Genomic DNA, 18,703 nt, shown 5'->3' with positions numbered 1-18,703 from the left:
CTGTTATTATTCATCACAAACTCCTTTCCACCAAATCTGAGTTTATGCTAATGAGGTGACACTTTCTGGGCCACTAGACAGTTTCAGGATGGGGGTGGATGCCAGAAAAACCAACCACATGATTAGAAGGTGGGAACTTTCAGCCCCAACTTGGACCTGCAAGGAGGGAAGAGAGACTGGAGAGTGAATTAATCACCAATGGCCAATGATTTCCTCAATCATGCCTATGTAATGAAACCTCCATAAAGCCCTTAAATGACTGGGTTGAGGGGGCTTCGAGGCTGGTGAACACATCAAGATGCGGGGAGAGGCTGGGTGCAGTGGCTCAAGCCTGGAATCCCAGCACTTTGGGAGTCCGAGGTGTGTGGATCACCTGAGGTCAGGAGTTCGAGACCAGCCTCAACAGGGAGAAATCCCATCTCTACTAAAAATACAAAATTAGCCGGGCGTGGTGATGCATGCCTGTAATCCCTGTTACTAGGGAGGCTGAGGCAGGAGAATTGCTTGAACCTGGGAGGTAGAGGTTGCAGTGAGCCGAGATCGCGCCATTGCACTCCAGCCTGGGCAACAAGAGCGAAACTCCATCTCAAAAAAAAAAAAAAAAAAAAAGATGCGGGGAGCGTGGCTTGCTGGAGAGGGCACGGAAACTCCACCAGTCCCCCACCCCTCGCCCTGTGTAATCTCTTCTGTGTCTTCATCTGTATCCTTTATAATATCCTTGAAGATGAACCAATAATAGTAAGGAAAGTGTTTCCTTGAGTTCCGTGAGCCATTCTGGCAAATTACTGAATCTGAGGAGGGGATTGTGGGAACCCACAACTTTATAGCCAAGTTGGACAAAAATGCGGATATGGGGCTGGGTGCCGTGGCTCACGCCTGTAATCCCAGCACTTTGGGAGGTCAAGGCAGGAGGATCGCTTAAATCCAGGAGTTTGAGACCTGCCTAGGCAACATAACGAGGCTCTGTCTCTACAAAATAAAAAATAAAAATTAGCCGAGCATGCTGGCACGCACCTATGGTCTCAGCTGCTTGAAAAGCTGAGGTGGGAGGATTGCTTGAGTTCAGGAGATCGAAGCTGCAGTGAGCTATGATCCTGTGTGCCATTGCACTGAAGCCTGGGTGATAGAGCAAGACCCTATCTCAAAAAAAAAGTGGGTCCTCTGTGCACTCAATACATGTGATTGGCATCTGAAGTGGGGAGCAGTCTTGTGGGCCTGAGTCCTTATCCTGTGGGATCTGCCCTAACTCCTGGCAGTTAGTGTCAGAATTGAATTGAATTGCTGTGTGTGGTGGCTCACGCCTGTAATCCCAGTACTTTGGGAGGCCGAGGCGGGTGGATCACTTAAGGTCAGGAGTTCGAGAGCAGCCTGGCCAACATGGTGAAACCCCATTTCTACTAAAAATACAAAAATTAGCCAGGCGTGGTGGCGCACGCCTGTAGTCCCAGATACCCAGGAGGCTGAGGCAGGAGAATCGCTTGAACCCTGGAGGTGGAGGTTGCAGTGAGCTGAGATCATGCCATTGCACTCCAGCTGGGCAACAGAGAGAAACTCTGTCTCAAAAAAAAGAAAAAAAGGAATTGAATTGAATTGGCCGGGTGCTGCAGCTCATGCCTATAATCCCAGCACTTTTAGAGGCTGAGATGGGAGGATCACTTGAGCCCAGGAGTTCAAGACCAGCCTGGGCCACATAAGAAGATTCTGTCTCAGCAAAAAGAATTTTTTAAAAATTAGCCAGGTATGGTGGTGCTGTAGTCCCAGCTACTTGGAAGGCTGAGGCAGGAAGATTGTTTGGGTCTGGGAGGTCAAGGCTGCAGTGAGCTGTGATTGCACCACTGCACTCCAGCCTGGGCCACTGTCTCAAAATAAATAAATAAATAAATAAAATAAAGAAGAATTGATTTGAATTGTGGGACACCCAGTTGGTGTCTGGAAAGTTGGAGAATTGGTTGATGTGGGGAAGAAAACCTCACACGTTTGGGTTTGGTGTTAGAAGTGTTGTAAATAAAAACGGTTTAGAATTGTCAACAGCTGTCTTACCTTTGGAGTTATGAGCTTTCCAGGCCAGGAAATGGATTGTTCATCTGTGTGTCCAGGGTTTAGCTGTGTCCCTGGCATGGAAATGTTCCTCAAAAGTCCAAGGAGTAAGAGGGTGAATGGAACATCCTAGGAGTGACCCCGATTTCCCAAAAAGGCAGAGAAGAAAAACTGCATTAATGTCAAAAACCTGTTAGAGAAGTCAGACAATGTGGAATTAGCTACATATGCGTGAAACACAATTCATCATTCCCTTTTTAAAACAATTTATTTTATTTTATTTTATTTTATTTTGGAGACAGAGTCTTGCTCTGTCCCCCAGGCTGGAGTGCAGTGGTGCGATTTCGGCTCACTACAACCTCTGCCTCCCAGGTTCAAGCAATTCTCCTGCCTCAGCCTCCCAGGTAGCTGGGATTACAGGCGCTCACCACCGTGCCCAGCTAATTTTTGTATTTTTAGTAGAGACAGGGTTTCGCCATGTTGGCCAGGCTGTTCTCGAACTCCTGATCTCAGGTGATCCACCCGCCTCAGCCTCCCAAAGTGCTGGAATTACAGGCGTGAGCCACTGGGCCCAGCTCTTTTTAAAACAATTAAAACTTTTTTTCTTTCTGTAGAGATGGGGTCTTGCTGTGTTGCCCAGGCTGGTCTCAAACTCCTGGCCTCAAGCAATCCTCCCACCTCAGCCCCCTGAGTAGCTGAGACTACAGGCATGCACCACCAGGCCTGGCTAATTTTTAAATTTTTTGTAGCTGGGGTCTTGCTATGTTGGCCAGGCTGGTCTGAAACTCCTGCCCTCAAGCAATCCTCCTGCTTCGGCCTCCCATAGTGCTGGGATTACAGGTGTGAGCCACCACACCTAGCCCATTCTTCTCTTTCTGCTGTAGTAGTATAAAATAATAGTAATAATAAAAAATAGTTATCTCCTTATCAAGATAGAAAATGAAAGCTGGCTGGGCACGGTGACTCATGCCTGTAATCCCAGCACTTTGGGAGGCCACAGTGGGAGGATTGCTTGAGTCCAGGAGTTCGAGACCAACCTGAGCAACATAGTGAGACTCCATCTCCATAAAAGAGAAATTAAAAAGACACTTACAAAAGAAAAATGAAAGCCAACACCACGGGATCCATCAGTTTAGCATCCTCAGTTGACAAATATTGTGCCTGCTGACTGAAGTAAACTTATTCATGTTGATAAGTGCATACCTTTGTATTGCGGGGAAAACAAATGTTTTACTCTCCTTCAATCATTGGATACATTGATCATGGTCAGCTATGGTTTCTCTCTTGGTAAGTGCAATTATTGGAAAAAAGATGTGAAAATCAAATGCTGTGTTTATATTTCTAAGAGTTTGGCTCAGTCAGTCTAAAAAGCCTGTGGATAAGTGGAAACGTGGGAGCGTTTTGAGTCCAGGGCAGTCCGATTCTGAAGGTATTGACCCCATTCTTAGGAATGCCAGCAATGTTTTTTCTGTTTTGTTTTGTTTTTGAGACAGGGTCTCACTCTGTCACCCAGGCTGGAGTGCCATGTCGCTGTCATCGCTCACTGCAGCTTCGACCTCCCAGGTTCAAGCAATCCCTCCAGCTCAGCCTCCCAAGTGGCTGGGGCTACAGGTCTGTGCCACCACACCTACCTAATTTTTTATGTATTTATTTTTCTTGAGATGGAGTTTCACTCTTGTTGTCCAAACTGGAGTACAATGGCGCGATCTCATTTCACTGCAACTTCCACCTCCTGGTTCAAGCGATTCTCCTGCCTCAGCCTCCCAGGTAGCTGGGATTACAGGCGCCCACCGCCAGGCCCAGCTAAATTTTGTATTTTTAGTAGAGACAGGGTTTTGCCATGTTGGCCATGATAGTCTCAAACTCCTGACCTCAGTTGATCTGCCCGCCTCAGCCTCCCAAAGTGCTAGGATTACAGGCGTGAACCACTGTGCCTGGCAATTTTTGAATTTTTTGTGTAGACAAGGGTCTCCAACTATGCTGCCCAGGCTGGTCTCAAATTCCTGGACTTGAACCATCCTACTGCCTTGGCCCCCCAAAATGCTGGGATTACAAGTGTGAGCCACCATACCCGATCTGTTTTTCATTCTTGAGTCATGTTGTCAAATGGTGGGACTCAATGTTTCAAGTATGCCTTTATCACCAATACTTAATCTGTATGTAAATGATGGCAATATAGATATAGAAAATTATAGGGTTTCATGCCAGGATGCCACACATAGTTTGACATTTGTGAGAGATAAGCTAAAATTTATTTCTACTTTATTTTTAATTTTAAGTTTTTTGAGACAGGATCTTGCTCCATTGCCCAGGCTAGAGTGCAGTGGTGTGATCATAGCTCACCGTAGCCTTGAACTCCTGGGCTCAAGCAATCTTCCCACCTCAGTCTCCCGAGTAGGTGGGGCCACAGGCATGCACCACCATGCCTGGCTAATTTTTTTAATTTTTAGTAGAGATGGGGTCTCGCTATGTTACCGAGTCTTAAAATGTATTTTTAATGTGTGAAGAGTTTAAGGCAAATCTGGAAGTGATGAAAACTCTTGGAGTCAGATTTGCAGGGTAGGAAATGGGGTAAAAAAAACACCCTCCCTGGCCAGGCGAGGTGGCTTACACCTGTAATCCCAGCACTTTGGGAGGCCGAGGCAGGTGGATCACTTGAGGCCAGGAGTTCGAGAGTGGCCTGGCCAACATGGCGAAACCTCATCTCTGTTAAAAATACAAAAATTACCCCGGCATGGTGGCATGTGCATGCAGTCCCAACTACTCGGGAGGCTGAGGCATGAGAATTGCTTGAGCCTGGGAGGCAGAGGTTGCAGTGAGCTGAGATCATGCCGCTGTACTCCAGCATGGGCGACAGAGCAAGACCCTGTCTCAAACAAAACAAAACAAAACAAAAAAAACCCCTCCTCATTGTTTCTGTCAATGTTTTGCAGAGCAGACTCATTTGCACAGTACAAGGAGTTTCTGCTTCGAAAAAGAAAATCTCTGTAAAAATTCTGAAAATACAAAAGAAGTAAAATGCACCTGAAATCATTTGCAATTGGGAGAGGATATTGATTTCCTAGTGAAACTGTCACTAACAGATTATTATCTGCTCACTCATAACAGCTTGAGGAAACAAGAACACACCTGAAATTCAAGGTTAAACTATTTTATTTCTTGCAAAACAGTGTTTATCGTTAAGGAGTCATGACAAGAATATTCCTTCTGTGAATAAAGCCAATTTGGAGGGAGTTTTGGGAGGCCATAAAAGAGAGTGATTCTAATGTATGAATCTGTTGATGCCTATAGAAGTCAGCAAATTCAAAATGAAATCACCAGAAAAATAAAAGCCGAAACATTGCAGGGCATGGCAGATGAAATCAATGTTTCCTGATAATATGCAAAGGCCATCTCTGGGATGGGAAAGAACCACTGTAGTTTAGGTAAGAAAAATCTGAATCGCTATCTCAATTTATAGAGACTCTTTGATTTTGCTGGTATTGAAAAGATGACTAAGACTAACTTATATATATGGTCATAAAGACATACATAAGTTGAGGCCAGGGGCAGTAGTTCATGCCTGTAACCCCAGCACTTTGGGAGGCAGAGGTGGGAGGATTGCTTGAGAGCAAGAGTTTAAGACCAGCCTGGGCAACATTGCAAGACCCCATCTATCTCTAAAAAAGGAGACATATGTAGACTGGGTATGGTGGCTCACGCCTATAATTCCAGCACTTTGGGAGGCCAAGGCGGGTGGATCATTTGAAGTCAAGAGTTCGAGACCAGCCCGGCCAACATGGTGAAACCCCATCACTAATAAAAATACAAAAATTAGCTGGGCATGGTGGCAGGTGCCTGTAATCCCAGCTACATGAGAGGTTGAGGCAGGAGAATCGCTTGAACCCAGGAGGCAGAGGTTGCAGTAAGCCGAGATTGAACCATTACACACCAGATTGGGTGACAGAGGGGGACTCCATCTAAAAAAAAAGACATATATAAGTTGCCCATATATTATAAAGTTGTGTGTATATATATATATATAAAGTCGTGTATATATATATATATAAAGTTGTATATATATATATAAAGTTATATATATATATATATATAGACTCATTCACATAGCACAGGAGTTTCTGCTTTGAAAAATAAAATCTCTGTAAAAATTCTGAAAATACAAAAGAAGTAAAGCACATCTGAAATCATTGCAGTTTGGGCGAGACGAAGATATTGACTCCCTAATGAAACTGTCAGTAACAAATTATTATCTGCTAATCAAAGTGGAATTTGTCACATGGGTGGCCGAATTCGCAACAGAAGGGTGGACACATCTGTGGGGAACCCTGGCTGCACCGCAGTATTGTACAAGGTGGAATAACGGGGTCTGTGCAGGCACATCGGGGACCATTGTCCTTTGCAATTTGTGATGCTGACACTTTTGTAGAAAAATAAAAAAACCGCGACGTGCTTTCGTTGCATTCAAGCCTTTGTTCCATGTTCTGGCATTCATCTGTGAAAAGACTGGCGATTACCCAAAAACACATGTAACGGGAGTGGCGGAGAGACCCGCAGGACGCTGGGTAACTGCTGAAAACATATCGGGTCTCACATCGCGAGGCTGGATGTGATTGAGTGGCTTCCAGCGATTGCTGAAACTTGGGAAGCAGTATTAAACGATCATCAGACACACAGGTGGCCCATGAATGGAGAATTCCTTTACACGTGCTAAATGTGATAGGAGTGTTTTTCCTGATGTGTTTCAAAGTGAAACCATAGACGTGTTTTCATTGCCTTCAAAAGTAAAAGCAATCTCTCACTGTTTATCATCTCAGGGAAATGATGACTGTTTCAAAACCGTTTGGTAGAGAGAGAGGAAAGGAACCTTGCCAGAAACGAATCTCAGGAGTTCAAAGTGAAAACAAAACAAAAAAAAGAACCTTCCTTTTGGGAAAGAAAAAGTCTGTTGTGGCGCAGGATGTGTATGTGTGTAGGAGGAGGGAACATGGAAATTCAGACAGGGAGTTTTCCCCTCCTTTGTCAGAACAGCATGCAACGATATTCAACCTAGAAAGATTTGGTTACTGCATTACTAAATTTAAATGCATATTTTTCAGTGAATAATGATAGCAAAAGAAAGTACGTTTTAAAATCACTGCTTAAATGCATTGAACTGGCTGGGTGCAGGGACTCACACCTATAATCCCAGCACTTTGAGAGGTTGAGGCAGGAGGATCACTTGAGGCCAGAAGTTTGACACCAGCCTAGGCAAAATAGCAAAACCACTCTACAAAAATAAAAACTAAACATTAGCTGGACATGGTGATGCACACCTGTAGTCCTAGCTACTTGGGAGGCTGAGGTGGGAGGATCATTGAGCCCAGGAGTGAGAGGCTGCAGTGAGTTATGATTGCATCAGTGCACTCCAGCCTGGGTGACAGAGCGAGACCCTATCTCCAGACAAACCAAGCAACCAATAGATGAAGCAATGGCCACATGCATGCAGATAAACGGGATAATAGTCTTTTTTTTTTTTTTTTGAGATGGAGTCTCGCTCTATCCCCTACGCTGTAGTGTAGTGACATGATCTTGGCTCACTGCAACCTCCACCTCCCGGATTCAAGCCATTCTCCTTCCTCAGCCCCCTGAGTAGCTGGGATTACAGGCGCCCACCACCATGCCTGGCTAATTTTTGTATTTTTAGTAGAGACGGGGTTTCACTCTGTTGGACAGGCTGGTCTCAAACTCCTGACCTCCCGTGATCCACCAGCCTTGGCCTCCCAAAGTTCTGGGATTACAGGTGTGAGCCACTGTGCCCGGCCGGATAATGGTCTTTCTTACTTGATGCAAGAAAAACTCTAAAACTTCAGTTTCACCAAAGCTACACAGAGCTCAGCCTCTGCCTGGATCACTGGTCTTGGCTGGTGGTTCAGCTCTGTCGCCTAGTAAGTGCCTACCTCTCGGCTCTGCAGTTCGCCCTGCGAGGCACACAATTGCCCTGCAAATAGGAAAGTAGGGACTTCAGAGAGGACAGACCCCGCAGAGGCCTCTCTCTGACTCTGCATGACCCCTCTGAGTGAGATGAGATGGTGGACTCTCTCTGCATCGTTTTAACGTCCATTTAAACAGGGTCGTTCAAGCAGCTGGAGCTGAAAGCCTCGTCCCGGAACCCCGCTTGTGGGTTTCAGGATAAAAATGTGTAGTCTACTGAGAGCTCAGAGTGAGAAATCAGACCGGGGAGAGCCTGCACGGGAGGCCAGATGCCGTGGCTGAGCACCAACTCCGCACCTTTTCAGCTGGGTGGGGAAGCTGGAAGCTGGGCTTCTAGGACCCTCAGTTTCTTCAACTCTAAAATGGGAATAAAATCCTACTCTCCTGGGTACTGATAATGATCCTTGAGTGAGATGACAAATTGAAAACACCTTGTGGGCTACAATGTACAGTACAAATGTGAGACTTTATTATAAAAAATCCCACCCTGGGCCAGGCATGGTGGCTCACGCCTGTAATCCCAGCATTCTGAGTGGCTGAGGTGGGAGGAAAGCTTGAGGCCAGGAATTTGAGACCAGCCTGGGCAACATAGTAAGACCCCATCTCTCTTAAAAATAAAAAAATTAGCCAAGTGTGGTGGTGCACACCCATGGTCCCAGCTACTCAGGAAGCTGAGGTAGGAGGGTTGCTTGAGCCCAGGAGGTCGAGGCTGTAGTGAGCTATGATCATACCACTGCACTCTAGCCTGGGTAACAGAGTAAGACCCTGTCTCAAAAAAAAAAAAAAAAAAAAAAAATAACCCAACCCGTATCCTAACTCCTGACATGCTTTCCTTTCTGGGGCTTTGATTCTCCCATCTTGCATAGGGTTGCCAGATAAAATACAGACTGTGTCATTTTTTTAGTACAAGTATATCCCAAATATTTCATGGGATATACTTACACTAAAAAATTTTGTTAATCTGAAAATCAAATTTTACTGGGTGTCCTGTATTTTTTATATTATGTATTATTATTATTATTAATTTTTCTTTTTTGAGACAGAGTCTCGCTCTGCCACAGAGGCTGGAGTGCAGTGGAGCGATCTCAGCTCACTGCAAGCTCCACCTCCCAGGTTCATGCCCTTCTGCCTCAGGCTCCCAAGTAGCTGGGACTACAGCTGCCCGCCACCATGCCCAGCTAATTTTTTGTATTTTTAGTTGAGATGGGGTTCCACCGTGTTAGCCAGGATGGTCTCGATCTCCTGACCTTTTGATCCGCCCACCTCAGCCTCCCAAAGTGCTGGGATTACAGGCATGAGCGACTGTGCCCAGCAATTTTTTTTTTTTTAGAGACAGGGTCTTGATCTGTTGCCTAGGCTGGAGTGCAGTGGTACGATCATAGCTCACCGTAGTCTCGAACTCCTGGGCTCAAGCGATCCTTCCCACCTTAGCATCCTGAGTAGTCAAGACTACAGGTGCATGCCACCAATTCTGGCTGATTTTTATATATATTTTTTGCTTAATCTGACAACTTTACCCCTATAGGAAGCCCAAGGTGAATTCAGGTTTATCTCAGGTAATCTTCACCACACCCTCAGGTGATGAAAAGAACAGAGATTTATTTACATCTCACTGTCTCTGCATCAGGTCAGGAGAAACCCCTGGGCCGCAAGGGCCGATTAGGTCACCCAGAAAGGAAGGCTGGAGGGCTGGGCCTCAACCCACCCCACGGCAGCCCCTCCAGACTAGCCTGTTGCAAGAAGGGTGGAGAAGGGGGGCTGCTTTCTCAGGGCTGAGGACAGCCTCTCTCCTCTAGGTAACTATTAAAAACTACTTTCCCTGGCCAGGTGCAGTGGCTCATGCCTGTAATCCTGGCACTTTGGGAGGCCAAGGTGGGAGGATCACTTGAGTTTAGGAGTTCAAGACCAGCCTGGACAACACGGTGAAACCCCGACTCTACTAAAAAAATACAAAAATTAGTCAGGCATGGTGGTGCATGACTGTAGTCTCAGCTACTCAGGAGGCTGAGGCAGAAGAATCACTTGAATCCAGAAGGCAGAGGTTGCAGTGAGTGGAGATTGCACCACTGCACTCCAGCCTGGGCAACAAGTAAGACTCTGTCTAAAAACAAAAACAAAAACAAAAACCCTACTTTTCCTGATACACATGTTGAAGTATTTACGGGAAGGTGTCTGCAGTTTACTTTGAAAGGCGTTATAGGGCCGGGTGCAGTGGCTCACGCCTGTAATCCCAGCACTTTGGGAGGCCGAGGCATGCGGGTCACGAGGTCAGGAGATCAAGACCATCCTGGCTAACACAGTGAAACCCTGTCTCTACTAAAAATACAAAAAAAATTAGCCGGGCGTGGTGGCGGGCGCCTGTAGTCCTAGTTTCTCGGGAGGCTGAGGCAGGAGAATGGCGTGAACCCAGGAGGCGGAGGTTGCAGTGAGCCGAGATCGCACCACTGCACTCCAGCCTGGGGGACAGAGCAAGACTCCATCTCAAAACAAAATAAAAATATAAAATGAAAGGCATTATGAAAACTAGGATGGATTTATGGCTGGATAGAGCGAGGTTAGGTAGGTGAATGGTTGTGAGATAAAAGATAATAAAATGTTAGTGTGGAATCTAGGAAGAGGTATATATTTGCTCATTGTAATATTATTTCAACTCTGCTGCATGTTGGGAAATTTGCATAATAAAATGCTGGAAAAAATTTCCACTAATAGAAAAATATATTCACTCATAGAAAAATTGGAGAATACAGAGGAGTGAGCCCCCAAATCTCCAATTATCCCACAACTCAACAATATTTTCTAATATTTCCTTCTGCCTTTATTATTATTATTATTTGAGACAGGGTCTTGCTGTATCACCCAGGCTGGAGTACAGTGGTGCAATCATGGCTCACTGCAGCCTCAAACTCCTGGCCTCAAGTCATCTTCCCATCTCAGCCTCCAGAGTAGCTGCGGCTACAGGCATGCGCCACCACGGTTGGCTAATTTTTAAAATTTTTTGTAGAGATGGGGTCTTGCTATGTCGCCTAGGTTGGTCTTGAAAACCTGGGCTCAAGCGATTCTCCCGCCTCGGCCTCCCAAAGCTCTGCGATTACAGGCATGAGCCACTGTGCCCAGCCCCTCCTGCCTTTTAAAACGTGTTTGTTGTTGTTTACAAATCTGGAATTATTCCATATATATATGTTTTTTCATTCCTGCCTTTATCACACACCACAGCTAATAGTTTTTGAGTGTTTATATTGTGGCAGGCACTGTGATAAATCCTTTACATAAATTATCTCATTTAATCTTGTATCGTGCTGACAGCACTTCTCCCATGCTAATAAAAGAAGTCCACAGGCATTGCTTGTAATGGTGATTTGATAGTCCATCACATGGGATTAGTTAACTATTGCTGGAAATTTAGGTTGTTTCCCATTTTTCACCATTATAAACAGAGTCTCTGAAACACTCTTAGGCAGAAGGCTTTTTTTTTTTTTTTTTTTTTTTAGATACAGGGTCTCGCTATGTTGCCCACGCTGGTCTTGAACTCCTGACCTTATGTGATCCTCCTACTTCTGCCTCTGAAAGTCCTGGGATTACAGGCATGAACTGCCATGCCCGACCAACAGAAGTCCTATCTCCTCTCTCTCCCCTGCTCCTAGGGACAACTTCCTCACCTGATCACTTCTCTGGTCCTATCGTCCACTAAAGCATTACCACCCCCCCCACCTTGCAGGCATTTTAATGTCTTGGCTACCTCTTGGAGGCTCCCTCTGTCCATTGGGGGTTGGAGGCCACATCCACTAAGTCAGAGCCTCTGTCTTTTCAGCAGAGCCAGGCAGGGACTGCACCCAGGTGGCCCACAGCACCAGCAGACAGCGGCTTCAACTACCCTCCATCCACTGGAAAGGGACTTGTGGGGAGTATGCGGGGAGCACAGGTGGGGGACCAGGGGAACTGGAGGGACCAGATATCTGGAGGCCTGTGGGGTGGGCAGGGGTTAGAGGACATCCTTTGGAGGGGGTCTAGACGGAGATGGTTACCCACAAAGAGCAGTAGGGTGGGAGAGATCTTTTATGTTTGTTTCTATAGTTGAATGTGCCAGTTAAATCTCATTCTGTCTGCTAGTATGGCTACTTCTCAATATTTAGGAGAAATTTCTGTTTTGTTTCTCCAGCTCTATTTTAAACCTCAAGTTTCAAATCGAACTGCTGTCTCGGTGCCAGCCGCTAACAGGCAGCGACAAGGATAGAGAACTGTACACACTCAACAATCCCTTGGCTGAGCACAGTGGTTCCCGCCTGTAATCCCAGCACTTTGGGAGGCTAAGGCGGGAAGATCACCTGAGGTCTACCTGGCCAACATGGTGAAACCCCATCTCTATTTTTTTTTTTGAGACAGAGTCTCGCTCTGTCGCCCAGGCTGGAGTGCAGTGGCGCGATATCGGCTCACTGCAAGCTCTGCCTCCCTGGTTCACGCCATTCTTCTGCCTCAGCCTCCCGAGTAGCTGGGACTGCAGGCACCCGCCACCACACCCAGCTAATATTTTTTTGTATTTTTAGTAGAGACAGGGTTTCATCATGTTAGCCAGGATGGTCTTGATCTCCTGACCTCGTGATCCACCCACCTCGGCCTCCCAAAGTGCTGGGATTACAGGCATGAGCCACTGTGCCCAGCCCCCCATCTCTATTAAATATACAAAAAAAAAAAAAAAAAAAAATAGCCAGGCATGGTGGTGGGCACCTGTAATCCCAGCTACTTGGGAGGCTGAGGAGGAGAATCGCTCGAACCCGGGAGGCGGATGTTGCAGTGAGCTGAGATCGCGAGACTGCACTCCAGCCTGGGCAACAAGAGCAAAAATCCGTTTCAAAAAAAAAAAAAAAAAAAAAAAAAACCAATTCCTTGCTATGGCTTTCCAGAGTCAGGGTGAAGTTCCAGAGACCCAGGCACCTGGGCTGGAACCCCAGCCGTGCCAGGTACCCCTGGTGATCTAGGGCACATCCATTTGCCCTCCCCCCACCCGAGCCTCAGTTTCCCCATCTGTAAAGCAAAGGCAATGCATTCCTTCACTTTCTAGTTCTCAGGGGTTGCTGTGGGTGGTGAGACAGGGCCCACGAAGGTTTGCGGTGCGGGGTGGGACGCAGTAGGACCCTCATGGGGTGACTGGTGAGTACAATTGGCCATCCTTTCTCTCCAGCCTCCGTGGGGAGGTCGCCTTGACTCGCAGACTTGGCTTTGCTCCATCTGTGCACGGCTCTCTTCCCTGGAGCCTGAGTGGAATGTTTTCTCTTCCCTCCTCCTCCTCCTCCTCCTCCTCTTCCTGTGACCGTCTGTGGGATGCCTCCAGTGTCCTGGGGTCCCCCGGAGGCGGCCCGAACCCTCTCCCCGCCCAGCGCGGCCCCTCGGCCCACCAGGCTGTTTCCAATTTGAACACCATGCATCTTGTCTCTGAGATCACAGCCGCCTCTTTGATGGAACTAATGATGATCTAGGACTTTGGGGGCCCCAGACCTCCCCAAACTGAGATAAATCCTGCCTCTGTGCAGACAAGGGGCCTCCAGCCCGGCATCTGATCCCCCTCCTCCGGGCTGGACAGGGAGGGGAGGTGTCTGTGGGAGTCCCCTCCCGGCAGGCTGGGAGGGTGGTGGCTGAGTCCAGGGAGACAGGAAGAAAGGGATTTCTCTGAGGCTCCAAAGAGGGTCCCACAACCCGGTGGGGGAGGGTGGCAAGCTTGTGAAAGGGCCTCTTAGAAGGCGGTCTGATCCCATCACAACCCAGGACACAGCTGGAGCAGAAGGCAACTTACACAGGCCAGCCTGCTTCTCAGACTCAGTGCCACTAACTGTTCCTGGCACCTTGCTTGCACCGCTGGGGACGCAGGGAGGAATGACTCTAGTTTCTGCCGCCAGGAGCTCGTGATGAGGGAGAGGGATGGGTAAACCAATGACTCCAATATTGCGTATTGAGGACTGCAATGGTGAGGACCCCAGGGGCTGTGGGAGCACGGCAGATAGGACCTGACGCAGCCTGTAGAGCCTGGAAGGCTTCCTGGAGGAGGTAGCCCTGATCTGGGTCTTGCGCAGGTCCCACAATGAGCAGATGATGTGCCCTGTCCATACAGAATAAACAATAAAAAATGATACTAAACCCTATCAAGCTTGCCCAACCTGCCTTGTTTGGCTGTTGTTGTTCTGTTCTGTTTTAGGCTTTTAGCAGCCTGAAACCATGGTTTTTAGTTTCTGTCTCTAGTGACAAGCGGAAAAGAGGGATGAGGAAGGGGATTTACTGACCCAACCAGAAACAGAAACTAAGAGCCTGTGACTGTATTCTCTCCCTTGGACACCCCTGAAACCATGAAACTTACACATATGCTGAAATTAAAATACCTTCTTTCTAGATTTTCTGATCGGAAAATTTTGGATCCGTTCATCAAAGAAGCTTTATTTTATTATTATTATTATTAATTTTTGAGACTGAATCATGGTCTGTTGCACAGGCTGGAGTGCAGTGGTACGATCTCAGCTCACTGCAACCTCTGCTTCCCAGGTTCAAGTGATTCTCCTGCCTCAAGCTCCCGAGTGGCTGGGATTACAGGTGCCCGCCACCAGGCCTGGCTAATTTTTGTATTTTTAGTAGAGACAGGGTTTTACCACGTTGGCCATGCTGGTCTCGAATTCCTGACCTCAGGTGATCTGCCCTCCTCAGCCTCCCAAAGTGCTGGGATGACAGGCATGAGCCACCACACCCAGTCTATTATTATTAATATTTAGAGATGGGATCTCTGTCAACCAGGCTGGAGTGCAGCAGTGTGTGATCATAGCTCACTGCAGCCTCGAACTCCTGGCCTTAAGCGATCCTCCTGCTTCAGCCTCCCAAAGTGCTGGGATTTTAGGTGCATGCCACCATGCACTTAGCCCATTTTAAGTTTTTAAAGAAATGTGAGTTGGACTCTGGTGAGCAGCAGAAGGTGGAGGAAGAGGAAGTGAAAGGTGAAGGAGGCAGAGGAGGAGCATTGAGTGCTGGGAAGGAGGAGGCACTGGCTGGGGGCTTGCCCTGTCTAAGGAGGGGCGTCCTCCAGGAAAATCAGACTGTTCTGTCATTCATGATCTGTCCTCCAACCTCTAGGAGCATCGCCCCCACCCCTTCCATAGCCGGGGGCCTGGCTCAGAAGCACAAGGTGCTCAGAGATACCAGTGAACCCCAGGGTAACAGTCGGAGTGGGCTTCCTGGAAGGGTCTGGAAGGACACTGACTTATCACCTCATAGCGGCTCCTCACTCTTCACAAGATAAAACTAGACTTTAGAGGGCAACTGTGGTGTGGCTCACACCTGTAATCCCAGCACTTTGGGAGGCCGAGGGCCTCTTGAGGCCAGGAGTCCAGGACCAGCCTGGGCAAACATAGTGAGAACCCATCTCTAAAAAACAATTTAAAAATGAGCCAGGCATGGCAGTGCATGCCTGTAGTCCCAGCTGCTTGGGAGGCTGAGGTGGGAGGATCACTTGAGCCCAGGAGGTTGAGGTTATAGTGAGGCATGATTGTGCCACTGCACTCCAGTCTGGGTGACACAGCAAGACCCTGTCTCAAAAGCAAACAACCCAACCAAAAAACCAACAAAACCCCCAAAATCCCTCAAAGAACAAAAACCCATAATTGTCTCCCACTCCCCCCAAAAAAACAACAAGAAAACTAGACCTTGGAGTGTGGCTTCATGGGCCCCTCTTCCATCTGCCCTTAGATGGATCTTCAATAATGCCCTATCTATATCAGCTCTTGGTTGGCGTGATAGAGATAATACATTCGCTGCTCCAGAGTCACTCGTGGTTCAGGCAAGGTCAAAGAGTCACCAGGAGTCAGTCATCACCTAAGTGGTACCTCCTGCCTGGGAAATGCCTCTATCACTGCCCACCTCCAGGTACCCAGAACTCCGGCCACTACCAAGGATCACTTGAGCCCAGCAGTGTGAGGCTGCAGTGAGCTATGATCATGCCATTGCATCCAGCCTGGGTGACAGAACCACACAGCAAGACCTGGTCCCCCCTGGACCCCCACAAAAAACCCCCAAAAAACTTAAAATGAATTCATTAAAAACTTATTAAAATAAAAATTTAGCATTTAAGGCCAGGCACGGTGGCTCATGCCTGTAATCCCAGCACTTTGGGAGGCCGAGGTGGGTGGATCACTTGAGGTCAGGAGTTTGAGACCAGCCTGGACAACATGGTGAAACCTCATCTCTACTAAAAATACAAAAATTAGCCAGGCATGGTGGTGCATGACTGCAATCGCAGCTGCTCGGGAGGCTGAGGCAGGAGAATCACTTTAACCCAGGAGGCAGAGGTTGCAGGGAGCTCAGATTGCACCACTGCACTCCAGCCTGGGCGACAGAGTGAGTAAGACTTCGTCTCAAACAAATAAACAAACAAAAACAAACAAAACAAAACACAAAACCTTAGTATTTAAAATAAATAATTAAAATGGTATTCATTAAAAAGCTGAAAATCAACCCAGGCTTAATGAAAGAAAGAACTTAGTATGCGTAAAAAAAACTTTAACGAAAACTCTTAGTATTCATTTAAAAACTTTAAACCAAAACTGAATATTCACTTAAAAACTTAAAAAATGAGCTCAGGCTTAAAAAACAAAAACAAACAAACAAAAAAAGAACTCTCCGGGCTTTCTGGGGATGTAACCAAGCTGAGGTTGGGCTTACTTCCCTCCAGCAAAGGGCCCCTTTCAAACCACTTGTGGCTGAGCCATCAGACCCAGATGTGACCTCCCCCCGTCCCGTGGGGGTCAGCAGCTCACCTGGGCCCTCTCCAGCCTGCCCTCCTGCCACCCCTGTTTATGTGTGCACCTCAGGGATTCCAAAAAGGAGTTAGTGTGGGCCTGCCTCTCAGCCACCTGCTTCCACTCTTACCTACATGACTCCATTTTCTGAGCCCGGTAGCTTTTTTTTTTTTTTTTTTTTAACAGAGTCTCGCTCTGGCCCAGGTTGGAGCGCAGTGACACGACCTCGGCTCATCACCGGTTCAAGCGATGGGCTGTAGCTGGGACTACAGGCACACACCATCCCACCTGGCTAAATATTGTATTTTTAGTACAGACGGAATTTCTCCTTGTTGGCCAGGCTCGTCTCGAACTCCTGACCTCAAGTGATCCGCCCGCCTCGGCCTCCCAAAGTACTGGGATTACAGGCGTGAGCCACCACGACCGCAGAGACCCGTAGCTTTCTAAAAGAGACTCTGAGGGTGCTTTCAGTGATGACCCTTGGCAGAAACCGGAGGAAGGGCTGAAGGTGATGGGGGAGGGGCGGAGCTCTGCCTTGAGCTTTGCTGCGGAGCCAAGCCTTCCCTCCTTGTCTAGCTCTGGCACTTTGAGCAGGTTCTGTCGGGGGTATCCCTGCCCTGGAAGCCCCTCTCACCTTCCCAGGTTAGGGGTGGCGTCCCCCAGTCTCCCTGAGGGCAAGGGCTGTTCTCATTTGTTTTGGAGGCCAGCTCTGCTCAGGGCCTGGGAATACAGTAGGTGTCTAATAAATATTTGCAGCGTTGAACTCTGTGCCCAGCAGCCCCTAGCCGTTCACCAGACAGCCTTGGCCTCCGGAGAGTGGGCTTTGGGGGAGGTGGCCTGGGCCGGGGGAGGGTGTGAGAGGCCTCATGGAGGGGGGCGGGGGCGGATCCGGGGTCGCTCTGGCTCAGCCTCCGGGGCCGTCCCCGCTGCCTTTGCAGAAGGCGCCTCCGCTGTGGCTCTTCCCCCTGGGCTGGAGCCAGAGCCTAGCGCACCCGGAGGAGGAGGAGGAGGAGGACGAGGAGGAGGAGGAGGCGGCGGCGGCGGCTGCGTTGCCGTCTGTGCCCATCACCTGAGCTGCACCGGGCGGGGAGGATAACAATTATTGGGAGAGGTTTGAAAAAAAAATCATTATCAAATAACTACAGCTTGCAAAAGTTGGCGGGCGGAACGGAAAACGCGGGCTGGATCGCTCTGGGGACGCCGCCGCCGCTCCCGAGCAGCTCCGCGGTAGCCAGAAATGGAAGGACGTACATCTGCAACGCATTTGTGCGAGGTTCACCTTGGAGACCGCGCTGCTGGATGCAGGCGGCGAGTTCACGCGAAAGGAAAAACTCTTTTAAGAGGGATTTCTCCTTGGGGGACCCTGCCCGGCACGCGCGGCGGGGAAGGGCGCCCCCTGCCAGGCGCGCGCGTGGAGCTGGGACGCTCCGATGGGGTGGGGGCCGCTTCTCTGAGCCTCAGTTTCTCAGTCTGTCCGAGGACTTGTACAGATTCGTGGCTGGCCTTGCAGGACCCTTCCAGTGGGGATATTCTTTTATTATTTTTATTTTTTATTTATTATTTTGTTTAGATGGAGTCTCATTCTTGTCGTCCCAGCTGGAGTGCAGTGGCACAATCTCGGCTCACTGCAACCTCCGCTTCCCGGGTTCAAGTGATTCTCCTGCCTCAGCCTCTCGAGTAGCTGGGATTACAGACCCCCGCCGCCATGCCCGGCTAATTTTTGTATTTCTAGTAGAGGGGTTTCACCATGTTGGCCAGGCTGGTCTTGAACTCCTGGCCTCAAGTGACCTGTCCGCCTAGGCCTCCCAAAGTGCTGACATTACAGGCTGAGCCACTGCGCCCAGCCTCCAGTGGGGATAGTCTAAGAATCTTCTTATTTCTGGCACCAGGTCCCGATGGAGGTAGAGGTACCAGCCCTTAAGGTACCAGGA

General features: G+C 48.3%; 3 annotated features.

The window, feature by feature from the left end:
• Window positions 16,503-17,023: an enhancer, noted in NCBI's record as "H3K27ac-H3K4me1 hESC enhancer chr7:101387749-101388269 (GRCh37/hg19 assembly coordinates)". NCBI's record gives its function as "activates a minimal SCP1, AML or CMV promoter by ChIP-STARR-seq in primed H9 embryonic stem cells {active_cell/tissue: H9 hESC(primed)}" and the evidence as "EXISTENCE:reporter gene assay evidence [ECO:0000049][PMID:30033119]".
• Window positions 17,652-18,595: an enhancer, noted in NCBI's record as "H3K4me1 hESC enhancer chr7:101386177-101387120 (GRCh37/hg19 assembly coordinates)". NCBI's record gives its function as "activates a minimal SCP1, AML or CMV promoter by ChIP-STARR-seq in naive H9 embryonic stem cells {active_cell/tissue: H9 hESC(naive)}" and the evidence as "EXISTENCE:reporter gene assay evidence [ECO:0000049][PMID:30033119]".
• Window positions 17,653-17,772: a silencer, noted in NCBI's record as "silent region_18488". NCBI's record gives its function as "represses an Ori minimal core promoter by ATAC-STARR-seq in GM12878 lymphoblastoid cells {active_cell/tissue: GM12878}" and the evidence as "EXISTENCE:reporter gene assay evidence [ECO:0000049][PMID:35858748]".

The sequence above is a fragment of the Homo sapiens genome, chromosome 7 (assembly GCF_000001405.40).
Source record: "Homo sapiens chromosome 7, GRCh38.p14 Primary Assembly".
Taxonomy (NCBI): domain Eukaryota; kingdom Metazoa; phylum Chordata; class Mammalia; order Primates; family Hominidae; genus Homo; species Homo sapiens.
Note: the sequence above shows the minus strand (reverse complement) of the source record. Positions and strands in the feature narration are given on the sequence as shown.